This window comes from Homo sapiens, chromosome 2 (genome assembly GCF_000001405.40).
Source record: "Homo sapiens chromosome 2, GRCh38.p14 Primary Assembly".
NCBI lineage: Eukaryota > Metazoa > Chordata > Mammalia > Primates > Hominidae > Homo > Homo sapiens.
The window spans coordinates 219,076,834-219,090,508 of NC_000002.12; the positions used below are offsets into that span (position 1 = coordinate 219,076,834).

The window sequence follows — 13,675 nt, forward strand, 5'->3', positions numbered from 1 at the left end:
CCAGCTACAAAGAGGAGGCATTCAGGAAGTGTCTGACATAGGTATTTTGAAGTCTATGTCAGACAGCAAATGCGATATAAGACCCTAAGCAGGAGATGTAGATTCCCTTCTCCCCCAAGGAATAGCCTCGCTGACTATCACTGGTCATCACTGGCCATCACCGGAAGTGGGATAAGGTGAAAGAGGAGTCAAGGCACATCATTCGTACAAGACCTACAGAGAAGGGACACCAAGGGAAGATGTGCAAGACCATGACTCTCCATCTAGACACCTACAATTTGGAGCCTGGTCACAAATATCCCTCAATATTTTTGAGGCAGTGCCAATGAAGCAGCAATTCCAGGGACCACTGGCTTGGGGGCTATAGGTGCCAACTCTCAGAACACCATCCAGGAAGCTGCTCATGACTCACCGTGGACTCTTTCTCAGGTGCTGAGAGGGTTGGGGCTGAGGAGACCAGTTGTTCTGGCTGGTTTACACATTGGCTATCGATTCCTTGCAGGGAAGCACTGTTTGAGGTATGAGGATCTCCTGAAATCAGAAAGATCAAGAGAAGATAGTGATAAATGCCTTCTTCTTACCAGGAAGATATTAGCATTCACCAAGCATTCTGATAAAGGCCAGGGTTTGGTACAAATATATAAGCAGACAGAAGTAGCCACAAGTCCAACTTCCAGCTGACTTTCAGAAAGTCCTGTTTCTGCTATGAAGATCTCCCCAGGCCCACTTTCAGCAGGTAGGATGAGAGTTTCCTCGACTCAAAACAGCCAGCTGTTCTTCTACATATTCCCTCACATGTCTCAGGTATGGAGATTAATTTTTTTTTTTTTTAAAGAGATGAGGTTTTTGCTGTGTTGTCCAGGCTGGTCTCAAACTCCTGGCCTTTCCCACCTCGGCCTCCTGAAGTCCTGAGGTTACTGGTGTGAGCCACTGCGCCCAGCCAGGGAAACTAATCTTTCTCCTGGTTCTTTTGCTAACCCTTCTAAGTACCTAGACCAGTGCCACCCAATCGAACTTTCTGCAATGATGGAAATGTTCTGTGTCTGCATTAACTTGGTAGCCACCAGCCACATGTGGCTACTAATCACTTGAAATGTGGCTACTGCAAAAGAGAAAATGCATTTTTAGTTTTATTTCATTTTTATTAATTTAAACTTAAATAGTTATATGTGGCTAGAAAACTATCATATTGGACAGCATAAACCTAGATCCTAATTGTATCCTCACACAGACCGGGTACCTCTGGAGGGCTCACCAGCGCCTTGATGCTTCTGTCCCACTTGGACCTCTTGTGTGGTGACTGCCATATACAGATCCTGCAGATTCATGACAAAGGGCTTTCCATCACCAATGCTGCATGCCTCTGGCAGTTTCTGTAAGAGAGAGGAGATACTGTCATTGGTTACACTGTATTGCTAGAGAAGCGATCTAATACCCCACATGCAGAACCGGCATCAACCCCAAATGAATTAATATAAAGCAGTTAGATCCAATAGGGGGCGACCATATCCAAGCCTGGTGGCAACCAATATAAAGATTTCTTGGGACATCTCCTCTGAAGGGCAACTCCAAATGTATATCTTATTTCCCCTAATCCTTAGGTCTATTATGTTTTCCCATGAATACCCTATAGATTTCTAGGCTCTTTTTCCAAAGGGATGATTTCTTAGAAGGCTATTTTAGGAAATTATTTCCCCTAAATTTTCCCTGAGCTGAACAAATTACTATTTTCATTAAATTCATTCATAAACTAGAGAAAAATGATAAAATTCAGGATAAAGGAGAGAGAGCAAAATGGTAATGACAGACTGAGAGGCAAGAAACAATTATGGAGCTGTGATGTTCAGGCAGAGGAGACAGGAAAAACAAAGCTGACAAAGCTTTTGAGGCCCCCGGCCATTTTCCATTCCCCACTGCTGTCCCACCCTCCTTTACTATCACCCACATGCTCACAGTGGGCTGGCTGAGATTCCCCCAAGGGAGTGAAAACTGTTCTTGAGGGGTAAAAAAAACTGACTCTTTTAAAGTATAAAGCGTGCACACACACACACACAGTACATAAATAGATTTTTTGGTATACCTGTGGCATTAAAATTTCCTGATAGGGAGTGATTAGGCAAAAAATGTCTTAAAAGGTTCCTTAGGGAAGTGATAATTTTTAAAAGGCTGAGAAACACTGCTATGATTACATTATATTTATCTGTTTCCTTCACTACAGAATGAACTGTGGACTTACATCCACAGCAAAATACTTTGCCTAGTTGTAGTTTCATACACTTGGCTGAACTGCGTTGAGGTAATGGCTGAAGACTGAACAAAGTGCGATAAAAATGAGATGAAAGAGTAGAGTGTCTAGTGGTCCCAAACCTGGCTGCACTTCGGAATCTTGGAAAGGGCCCAGAACTATTTCACCTGTCCCTAGGCGTGCAAATCACCATGGTTCCCAGCCAAGTTAGCAGGTCCCCAAGAGCAGCCATGCCAGCAGCTCACATGAGAACCAACCCAAGAATCCTGGATTGGCCCATACCTTGGGTCAAGGGCACCTTTTTGTGCTGTAAGGGCATTCATTTCTGAAAGCCCTCTCATGGGAGAAGAATAGAAGAGAGAAAGTGTGAGAAGCAGGAAAGCAGGTGCTGAACCAGTCAGGATAGCTGAAAACCTTGTTGATTACCAGGAAATGTCACATACATTTCTACTCCAACCCTATCCCCACAAAGACTATATCAGGCCTGGACTTTCACTGGAAACCACAGGCAATGAATCAGAGCCCCGAGTCCAAACTTTGCCTCTAGCCAGTAATCACACTAGAGTCTAACAGCCCTCTGGCAGCATTCCCTGAGGAATGAACTGAAACAGGGAAGGTAAACTATCAGGCCACACCACCTCTACCCTACCTCACTCTCAGGAGTTCAGCTCTCTAACTCCCAAGACACCGCCTTCAAAAGAGGGTTCTCTCCTCCATAGCCAGAGAGCCCTGATGGTGGGGAGGCAAACAGCTGCCCTCCTTCCTTATATATTGACCTCTAGCATCTCCCTTCATACTACCCAAGAAATGATGCCTCTCTTAGGGTCACTCATACATGACTTGGTAGGCACTGTGCTGTCTACATAAATGGGTTAGGCAGAATGAGGCAGTCCAGAGTCATTTCCTCCTGCCCTTTCCATGGAATCAAACAGATTCATCAATTTTTCAGGGCGACCTTCACTCAGCTCAAGTATTTAACCTCAAAACGAAGTGCTAGAAATGCTGCACCTGGGTCTAAATGTGGAACCTAATCTAAGCCCTTCCGCTGTCCTTCCCCTTCTCAGAGAGATCTGGTCCTGCAGTTGCTGGCAAAGTTATTCCACCTGACTATTCTCAGAAAAGTCCTAGGAACAGCATATTGCTAGAATTGTCGAATACTTAATATATGCTAGACATGGCCGGGCATGGTGGCTCACACCTGTAATCCCAGCACTTTGGGAGGCCGAGGCGGGCGGATCACAACGTCAGGAGAACGAGACCACGGTGAAACCGCATCTCTACTAAAAAAGACAAAAAATTAGCCGGGCACGGTGGTGGGCGCCTGTAGTCCCAGCTGCTCGGGAGGCTGAGGCAGCAGAACGGCGTGAACCCGGCAGGCAGAGCTTGCGGTGAGCTGAGATTGCGCCACTGCACTCCAGCCTGGGCGACAGAGCAAGACTCTGTCTTAAAAAAAAATAAATAAATAAATAAAAATATATATATATATATATGCTTTTATATATATACGCTTATATATATATGCTAATATATATAAGCTTATATATATGCTAATATATATAAGCTTATATATATGCTAATATATATAAGCTTTTATATATGCTAATATATATGCTTATATATATATATGCTAATATATATATATGCTAGACATTGCTCTAAGTACTTAAAATGTATTAAACCATTTTTGTGTTTTCTACTACTATTTCCCTGGCATCTAGAAGAACCCTGAGCTCACGGTAGAGGCTCAGTACTATGTGTGAATGAATGAGCATGGTAGGCACTAGCATGACCCCGTTTGGCTGAGATGGTCCCAGCTAGTAAGTGGTGGCACAGGGTTAGAGGCCGAGCAGTCTGGCTTCAGGGCCCACACATATAATTACTATCCTATTTACTTCCCTGAACAGCAGAATTTTGGTCAAAAGAGCAATCCAGCTTCTCCCAGGATCACAACCTGCAATCCTTCACATCCCAGATCACCTGCCATCCGGCTGAGGAACAAGCTCCCCAAGGTGACAAGAAAAGGGAGCAGATAAAAAGGAGACAGGTGGACCAGATTGGACCCCTTGGGGGCTGAGAGACCATACTCTTAATCCCATTCTAGCCATTCCCCATTATCACGGATTCCTTGGGCCTCATTCTCAGAATATACTAGGGAAGAGAGGTGGAGAGGCAGGAGCTTGGGAAAGAGAAACATTAGCTCCTGGGGCAGGACAATGGTAGTGGCTACCTGGGGCAGGCGGCAGAGATCAAAGGGAGAATGCTGGAGTCAGGAGTAAGTAAAGTAAATAGTGCCCCCTGCTATAAGTGCGACTGAGCCAGGAGCACGATGTACCGGCCACAATGCGGGTCACTGCCCAAAGTGGGGAGGGAAAGAAGAGTCAGGTCAGCCTACCTGTAGAACGTGTTCATCTGATTAACCCAGAATCAATTCTAGTAAGCAAAAAAGTTACTGAGAGTCTACTATGTGCCAGGCATTACAGGATTCAAGGCAGGGGAAACAGATGCATCAATCCTTCCCTCATAACAGGTCTGAGTTAATACAAAGATAGTAACTCAGAGTTCCTACTTCAAAGAGTTCATATTTGCATGTGGGAGATAGGCAGACATATGTTGTTTTGTTTTTCAAGTGATTTGCTCTAACAGAATTCTCAACAAAGGGTAATAGGGAACCAGAGAAGAAGAAAGGGATGAATTTTGACACAAGAGTTCTGCAAAAAGCATCAGAGGTGGTGACATCAAGACAAGCCTTGCAAAGTTAGACTTTGGATGTGCTGGAAGTAAGTGAAGCATAAAGGTGTGAAGACAGGGTATGTGGATGTGTCTCATGGGAAGCAAGACTAGAAGGCTAAGTTCACATTCACTAGTTTGCAAAGGACTTCATTTTCTGAATTAAGGTTATGCCCATGGGAATTTCTTTTTGTTTCATAAAGTGGCTTTCTCTACTCTACAACTGTTTGCCAAAGCTTCCTTGGCTCCAAACTAGTATTGATGGAACAATGAGGAATCCAGAGCTGCTTCCAGGCTTCCCTTTTTAGACTCTCTGTTACATTTACCTAAACTCTTAGTACTTCCTCATTACTTACTCATAGTAGTGTGATTTTTTCAACAGCCACAAGAGCTATATTACTCTCCCATCTCCAATGCACTGGGACTTTGGACCCTGGTATACAGCCATATCAGAAACTTTAGGCAAACCAAAGTGACAGAAACCCTGTAGGGCATTTTATTTCCCCTTCTTGTCCCTACTGCAGCCCATCTTGGTTCTGAGGGTCCAACCTCCCCTCTTTAGAGGTAACTCTCATCTTCATGGGGTCTAAACTCACTCCCAGTGGTCCAGAAAGCCCAAGACTCTCTCAGGATTTGCTGGAGAGCTTCCAATTAGCATTTTCAACTACAAATACGTAATCTGCCTCTCCTCCCTGCCTCACCCCTCCTTTCCTCTGAGACTGTTTCAGAAAAGAAACTTCTAGAATCCTGGGTAAGAAAGGCTAGATCTGATCTACTGCTCACCCTATAAATATGGACCCACAGTCTGAGGATACAGGTTTAATGAAGAAAAAGGGAAAATGAGCTAACTGGAGCTCTCCAGAGTCAGCCTTTGAGCATGTCTTTGGTTCTGGCACCCGCCCCAGAAACTGGCACAGCCCCAAGCCCCTCGCACTGACCATCACAACATCACAAGGGCAGGGCCCACAACACGTGACTTCCCTAAGAGTAAGAATTCCGCTCCTCCCTCTTGCAATGTGGTAAACATTGCTGGTCTAGATACAAACTTCCTTCCCTTGGGAGCCCAGGTCTCCATTCAAAGGGAATCATGGCAATGTTCACCATCAGCTTCCCTTAGGAATAAGAGCATATTAGAAAACTCTTCTAAGGTCTCAAATGGCCAGAGGGTTTGCCAGAATAAAGAGAAAGGAACAAGAAACGTAATTTAGGAAGAAGACTCTAATGAGAAGGACTCTTCAAGAAATGTAACTCCCCCTTCGCCAATCCATTCATATTTAACAAATATTTGCTGATCATCTACTGTGGTGTTTGGGATTATTTAGATGCTGGGAATATGGTAGTGAACAAAAGAGATAAAATTCCCTGCCATCTTGAAGTTTACATTCTAGAGGGGAGATCACCAACAAATATATAGCTAATTAAAATGTATACTCTGTGAAATGGTACTATTACCATCCAAATGAAATCCCTAAATCAAAGATAACCTGAAATGGCCCTGGGTCCATGACACAGACCCAACTGCAGTAGTAAAAGGCTGAGAGTCAGAAGGAAAGATGAACCCAACATGCGAGGATAGTATAAAGGTTTAAAAAAGAAAGTCCAAAGTAGGTTCTCACTCAAAGAGGAAGAAGCAAGGCTATTCAGGAATTAGAAAAAAAATTACTAGAAAAAAAAAAAAGAAATACACTTTAAGTTCTGGCCTTAAGGTCTCAAAGATGTGGATTTGTACCTAAGGTGGTCTTCTATTTGCTAGCTGTGACACTGTGGGAAAGCCATCATACTTAACGGTTTATTTTGAGAGAGAGAGGAGGGAAAGGAGAGAGACATTGGGAGTCAGGCACTGAGGGATCAAGACTAACAACATTTACATCACAGAATGTGTGAAAGGATTAAATGAGAGAATCGAGTAAGTGCCCAAGAAATGTCTGTTCCTTCCCTTTGCAAGGCACATTGAGACTTCTCTTGCCTGGCCCTACTCCAATGAGTGCTAAGTGGACTCAAGAAGTGCCCTAATGATAAAGTACATAGAGAAACTAGGTCTGATCTAATTACAGATGGTTCCTGACTTAGGATTTTTCTATTTTACTGATGATGTGAAAGTGACAGGCATTCAATACACTCCTTGACCTATGATGGGGCTATCTCTGGATAGTCTCATAAGTCAAAAACGCACTTTCAACTCAGGATATTTTCTTTCTTTGCTTTTTTTTTTTTTTTTTGAGATTAAGTCTTGCTCTGTCTCCCAGGCTGGAGTGCAGTGGTACAGTCTCCGCTCACTGCAACCTCTCTCTCCCAGGTTCAAGCGATTCTCCTGCCTCAGCCTCCTGAGTAGCTGGGACCACAGGCACCTGCCACCACGCCTGGCTAATTTTTGTATTTTTAGTAGAGATGGGGCTGCACCATGTTGGCCAGGATGGTCTCAAACTCCTGACCTCAGGTGATCCACCCGCCTTGGCCTCCCAAAGTGCTGGGGTTACAGGCATGAGCCACCACGCTTGGTTCTGCTATTTTCAACTTAGGATGGATTTATTGGGATGCGACCCCATCATAAGTTGAGAAGCATCTGTATTAACTTCTCTTCACTGGCGTCCCAAAGCATACTATTATCTAGTAATACAGTGACCAGTCAAGGTCCAGATCAGGGAGACACAGAAATCTACCCAGTAACCTGTGGGTAATTCACTGTCCCCCATCACCACACTAGCCAACTCCTCGGTCTCTAGCAATGACTGAGGCAGCATGGCTTTTGCATCAGAAGGTCCTGGGTTTAAATCCTGGCTTTGCCAGTTACCAGGTGTGTTACTAACCCCTTTTAGCCTCTGCTCCCTTACCAGAAAAATGAGGAGACCAACAGCTACTTTGATGAGGCTGATGGAAGGATTCCATGGGATGATATGTTAAAGGGTGCCTACTCAGTAGGTATTGTCTTCCTACCTCCCCAAAATAGCCCCTGCTTCTCAAAGCTCTCCTTTACTCTCCAATTCTTCAGGACCTACCCAAGAAGCCAAGGTTTCATCTTCATTCTCTCCACCCTCTTTTTTGGGTGGCAAGTATAACAGTGAAGAGTAAAGCTGCTACTCTCTCCAGAAGCACACAAAGCACAAACAGCTTGCTTCCAACAACATTTTAGCAAGAGTATTCTGCACAGCCCAACTGATCCTGCAATGCTTGAACCAAGAACTCTCTCACCACCATTTCCTGCTTCCTAATGTGGCTTGTGCAAATGCTCTGCTATGTCATTTCCATTTTTAAGTAATATACACTCAATAAGGGCTATCTGGAAAACACAAAAATATGACCTGCAGATATAGGCCATAAAAATAGCTAACAGTCAAATGGTTTTTGATGGGATTAATTTCACAGTTTCCTCAGAGTCTGAGAGAAAAAACTACTAGGACAGAGAAAAGAGATAGGGTGGTGATATCTATATTTTTAGAAGACAACTGTTTCATTCTCCTTTCTCCTCATTTCAAATTTTCCACAGCTCATCACTTGGATGAGCTACCTCTGAGTTTCAGGCAATATCCAACCTGATACGGGGTCTCTCTCTTTGTCCTCACAGAATACCCCTCTATCAGTTCAGTGATCAGAAACCTTGGTGATCTGGGAGAAAATATAGTACCCTAAATACACAAGGCACACTGCCCTTGAAGGTCCGAATGTGAAACTGAAGACAGAGCTAACACTGCCCTGTGTTTGGTCTGATTTAGCTTTGTTTGGGTCTGTGCCTGCAACAAGGTCTTCCCTGATCATTCTGCCCTGCTGCTGCCGACCTCGCCATGCTCTATGATTAGCCTCCAGCTCCTGAGCATCCACTCAGTGCTGGGCTATAAGGAAAAAGAACACAGAGAAACCCAAACTTAATCTTGTGTTTAGGGACCTTGCAAATTAATTAAATCATAGTCAACTCACCCCCACCCCCGCCACCTTTTAAAACAAGATGGGAGAATAGATGCAGCCATACAGTCATATATGCAAACATCTATGTATGCAATCTAGTCAAGTTACTGAATCACTTTCTTTGTGGCCTCCCTTCAAAATGAGATAATTTTGCTGCCTCTCTCTCACGATGCTGGACATGCAATGGAGTAAGATAGGTGCAGAGTTCAAAACAGTTTGAGACAAAGTCCAGGTCCTACATATACTATTCAGATTTTTCTGGTTCAGTCTGAGGTCTGGCTAGCTCTCTGGACTGCAGGGTCAGAAGAGGAGGGAGATGTGAAGAAAGACTATAAAAAGAGGTCCAAACAGAAGGCTTGAATAATATTAGTAAAATTAACTTTGTAAATGCTTTCTATGTGCTAGGTACTAGGCTATGCATTTTGACACATTACTGCAATTAACCTCCACTGTTACCCTATCAGTTGGGCTCTAAAATCATTCTCATTTTATTTATTTTGGGGTTTTTTTCTTATTTACTTGTCATGACTTGAAGCCCAATCTCATTTTATATACAAGAAAACAAAGGCTTGAAGAGATTAAGTAACTTGACTAAGGTCACAGCAAAATGGGGAAACAGAAGGCCCAGGAAGTTGAACTCTAGAACCTACACTTGAATCTCTACACTATAATGCCTCTTACCAATGAGACATCCATTTCTCCCTCCTATCTCCTACCCCTGTAAGGAAGTTGGTCCCTGTTCTGAGGTCTAGTGGTACTAGAAGCTGGCTCTCACTTCCCTTCTTAAATCTCCAAAGAGCTCAAGAGGCTGAAAGAGGGAAAAGACAAAATGCCCTCTAGAAAAGGAAAGCCTTACTTCACCCCTTGAGTGTCCTCCAAGTATAGTGGAAAATAGGAAAAATGAATCTCTGGTATGGGAAGTCTCTAGACTTGAATCTCCTTTTAAAATAAGTACAGCCCCTCAGAGTCATAGCAGGAAGGCCCCTCAGCTCTGCCCCCAAAGAAAAATAATGGTAAAGGGAGTGGAAGTGAAGGTGGGGGCGGGGCAGCTGCTCTCATAAGAGCCCTTTGTGGTGGCTGCCTCTGAAAGGAGGTTTTGCTAGACAAGGTGGAACTTCTCAAGGTGACAAGCAAATGGTACAGACTGAGCTGTGACCCTCTGCTTGCTCTATAACCACCCCCTCCCCTTTGGAGGGCCAGAGCCTAAACTGTCCCTGGAGCCCCACCCAGCCCCAGCACAAACCATGGCTTTCTAGTCTGGAGGGCAACTAACGAGCAGCAGAGGGGCTCGGGGAACGCAAGTGGTTTCCTGGGGGGGACGGATCCTCAGAGCCCCTCAGAAAGTGTAGGAGCAACTCTCATTCCTTCTTTTCTCTACTCCCACTCCTCTAAGAAGAACAAGCAGCTCCTGTCAGCTCTGGCTCAGGGAAGGGGCTCCGACCAGCCTAGCAGGGGAACAAGCAGTTTGAACATTATTTTAGCACCTCTCTCAAATTCAGCCACCTCAACATCCTCTTCCCAAATGGAAGTGAAACAATGTGGTAGAAACTGGAAAGAACAAAAGCATCAGATTTAATAACAAAAAGAAAATCACAGCTATAAGGCAGATAGTCTGGCTCTGAAAGCTCTTCATCCCTGCCCTGTGCTACTAGCACTGTGCAGGAGTGCAGATTCCTTTTTTTTTTCCCTGACTTGGTGCGAAGAGAGGACAGTCAACTGGGTGTGTAGGGCACAAAGTTGATTTAGAGTACCCTGCAGTATTCTCTGTAGGACCTCCACCACCAAAAGGATTCTCTTTCACTCCAGATTACACGCTTGACAGCTGGGAACACAGCCCACAGCAGCCAAGTTCTCATGGACTCCCTGCCCCCATCCCGCCTGCTGCCTGCCTCTCTGGAGGGTGACAGTGTCTTCTCTGCCCTGAGAAATCGTACTCTATAGGGTGACGCACCACCTCCCCCACCTGCCACACACACTCAAAATAAGGTACTGATCTTCATGACCTTGAGGAGGTAAAGATTTCTTAACAGGACACAAACCATAAAGGAAAAGGTTGATAAATTGGACTAGATTAAAATTAAGAACTTCTGTTCATCTAAAGAGACACTTAAGAGAGCAAAAAAGCAAGCTATAATGTAGGAGAAAATACTTGCAATACATATAACCAACAAAGAACTCATTTCCAAAATATATTAAAAACTCTTAAAAATCAGTAAGAAAAAGACTTAGTCATACCTAAGGCTTAGTCATATTTAAATGACTGATAATTACATAAAAATGTACAGAATCTCATTGAGAAAATTAAAACCACAACCGGATATCTCTATATATTCATCATAATGGCTAGAAGGAAAAAGGATGATAATATCAAGTGTTGACAAAGACACAGTACAACCAGAATTCTCCTAAACTGCTGGTGTGGTTATAAATTGATACAGTCATTTTGGAAAACAGTTTGGCAGTATCTATTAAATCTAAAAATATACACAACTATGACCTAGCCATTCCACTTCTATGTATTTCCCCAACACAAGTAGGTAAATAAGTTGTGGTATAGCTTTACAATAAAATATTATACAGAAGTGAAATGTTAAAAGTATGGCTACAAAGAGCAACATAGATGAATTTCATTAATATTTCGGGCCAGGTGAGTGGCTCACACCTCTAATCCCAGCACTTTGGGAGGCCGAGGCAGGAGGATTGCTTGAGCCCGGGAGTTCAAGGCTACAGTGAGCTCTGATCATGCCACTGCAAGCCAGCCTGGGCAACAGAGTGAGACCCTGTCTCAAGAAAAGAAAAAAAAAAAATTAACATTTTATTGAGTAAAAGAAGTCATACACAAAAGAGTATATATTATTCCATTTCTATGAAGCTCAAAAACAAGCAAAATTAATGATCATATTAGAAGTCAGGATAGTGTAGTGGTGTTACCCTTTGGAGGTGGTAGATATTGGTAGATAACAGGGGGGTACTTTTGAGTACTGGAAATTTTCTAGCTCTTGATTTGGGTGCTGGTTACACAGCTATGTTAATTTTGTAATAATTCTTCAAGCTGTACACTTCTGATATGGGCACTTTCCTACATGCATTTTATACTTCAGCTTTTTTTTGTTTGTTTGTTTTTTGAGACGGAGTCTCACTCTGTTACCCAGGCTGGAGTGCGGTGGCGTGATCTCAGCTCACCACAAGCTCCGCCTCCCAGGTTCATGCCATTCTCCTGCCTCAGCCTCCCGAGTAGCTGGGACTACAGGCGCCCACCACCACACCTGGCTAATTTTTTCTTTTTGTATTTTTTAGTAGAGACGGGGTTTCACTGTGTTAGCCAGGATGGTCTCGATCTCCTGACCTCGTGATCCGCCCGCCTCAGCCTCCCAAAGTGCTCGGATTACAGGCATGAGCCATTGCGCCCAGCCTATACTTCAATTTTAAAAGTTTATTAATAAAAGATGAATCACTATGGAAAACAGCGAGGTAGTTACTAAAAATGTTAAGCATAGAGTTACTATATGACCCAGCAATTCTACTCCTAGGTACATACCCAAGAGAACGGAAAACATAGTTAACACAAAAATGTGCACACAAATGTTCACAATAGCATTATTCATAAGAGCCAAAAAGTAGAGACAACCCAAAAGTCCACCAACAGATGAATGGATAAACAAAATGTGGTATATCTGTACAATGGTATATTGTTCTACCATAAGAAGGAATAAAGTACTGATATTCGCTTTAATACATGAACCTTGAGAACATAATGCTAAGTGAAAGAAGCCAGACACGAAAGACCACATACTGTATGATTCCGTTTGTATGAAATATGCTGAATAGGCAAATCCATAAAGACAGAGAGTAGTGATTTCCAGGGGATAGGAGACAGGGTGAATGGAGAATGACTGCAAATAGGTATGGCATTTATTTTTGGGGTGATGAAAATGTTCTGGAATTAGACAGTAGTTATGGTTGCATAACCTTGTGAATACACTAAAACCACTGAATTGTATATACTTTTGGTATATACTTTTCGGTATATTTCATGGTATGTGGATTATAGCTCTAATTTTAAAAACAAGTTTTAAAATAGATAAAGTCTCTATTCTCCCCATCTTTTTTGCCTATTCTCCACTCTATTTCCTCTTTTAGGAATAGATGCTTAGGCTCCCAAAAGGCTTGGACAACTTTTAAAGAACTTTAAGGCAGTCAGTGGAGCAGATACCTACCAGTGGCTGAGAGACTGGAGGTGGCATGGAATGTTGAAAGACCACAGGATCTAGAGTCAGACAGACCTGGTTTTGAAAATAAGTCCACCACTTACATGTTTGTTTTATGATCTTGATCTTGGCCAAGTGACTTAATTTTTTGAGCCTCAATTTTCTCTCCATGAAATGAGTAAAGGAATTCCTACTAATGAGGGCTGTCCAAGGATTGTTAAATGAGACAACGTAGGTAACATATTAATTCTGTTCCCTTGAGAGTTCCATGCACTCTCAACTGTTTGAAGGCAACTGGGAAAATCACTTTATTCCAGCAAAAACAGTGTGGGCTCTGGAGTTAAATTGCTTACACTCAAATCCCTGATCCACTACTTCATCTTCATCTCTAAGCCTTAGTTTCTTCAGCTGTGGAATGGGAATGATATTACTGCCTGCACTATGGAGTTATTATGAGGATTAAATGAGATCATGCATGTAAAGTTCTCCCTATAGTGCCTGGCACATAGGAAGGGCTCAATAAATATTAACTGTTATTATTAATTCAATCATTAAACAAAATTGCCAAGGATATGCTATAGCATGCTGTGTCCTA

The 13,675-nt window shown here is 43.1% G+C and overlaps 1 protein-coding gene across 4 annotated transcripts in view, besides 1 other annotated feature; it reads right to left on the reverse strand.

Moving 5' to 3' along the window:
• The window catches only part of NHEJ1 (non-homologous end joining factor 1), a 91,459-nt gene that overhangs the window by 7,477 nt on the left and 70,307 nt on the right, over positions 1-13,675 (reverse strand). For 3 of the 4 annotated variants that reach the window (NR_165304.1, NM_024782.3, NM_001377498.1), the window contains 2 exons: positions 1,256-1,373; positions 413-531 (listed from right to left, as the gene is read on the reverse strand). Coding sequence is in view for 3 of the 4 variants with exons in the window: in NM_024782.3 (NP_079058.1) it covers positions 413-531; positions 1,256-1,373 (237 nt within the window). In the remaining variant the exon portion in view is untranslated. Of the gene's footprint in view, positions 1-412; positions 532-1,240; positions 1,374-13,675 lie in introns of all 4 variants that reach the window. The other variant, NM_001377499.1, reaches the window with a different exon arrangement.
• Positions 51-1,250: an enhancer, noted in NCBI's record as "BRD4-independent group 4 enhancer chr2:219941606-219942805 (GRCh37/hg19 assembly coordinates)". NCBI's record gives its function as "activates an origin of replication core promoter dependent on BRD2, P300/CBP, MED14 and CDK7 cofactors, and independent of BRD4, by STARR-seq in HCT116 cells {active_cell/tissue: HCT116}" and the evidence as "EXISTENCE:reporter gene assay evidence [ECO:0000049][PMID:35650434]".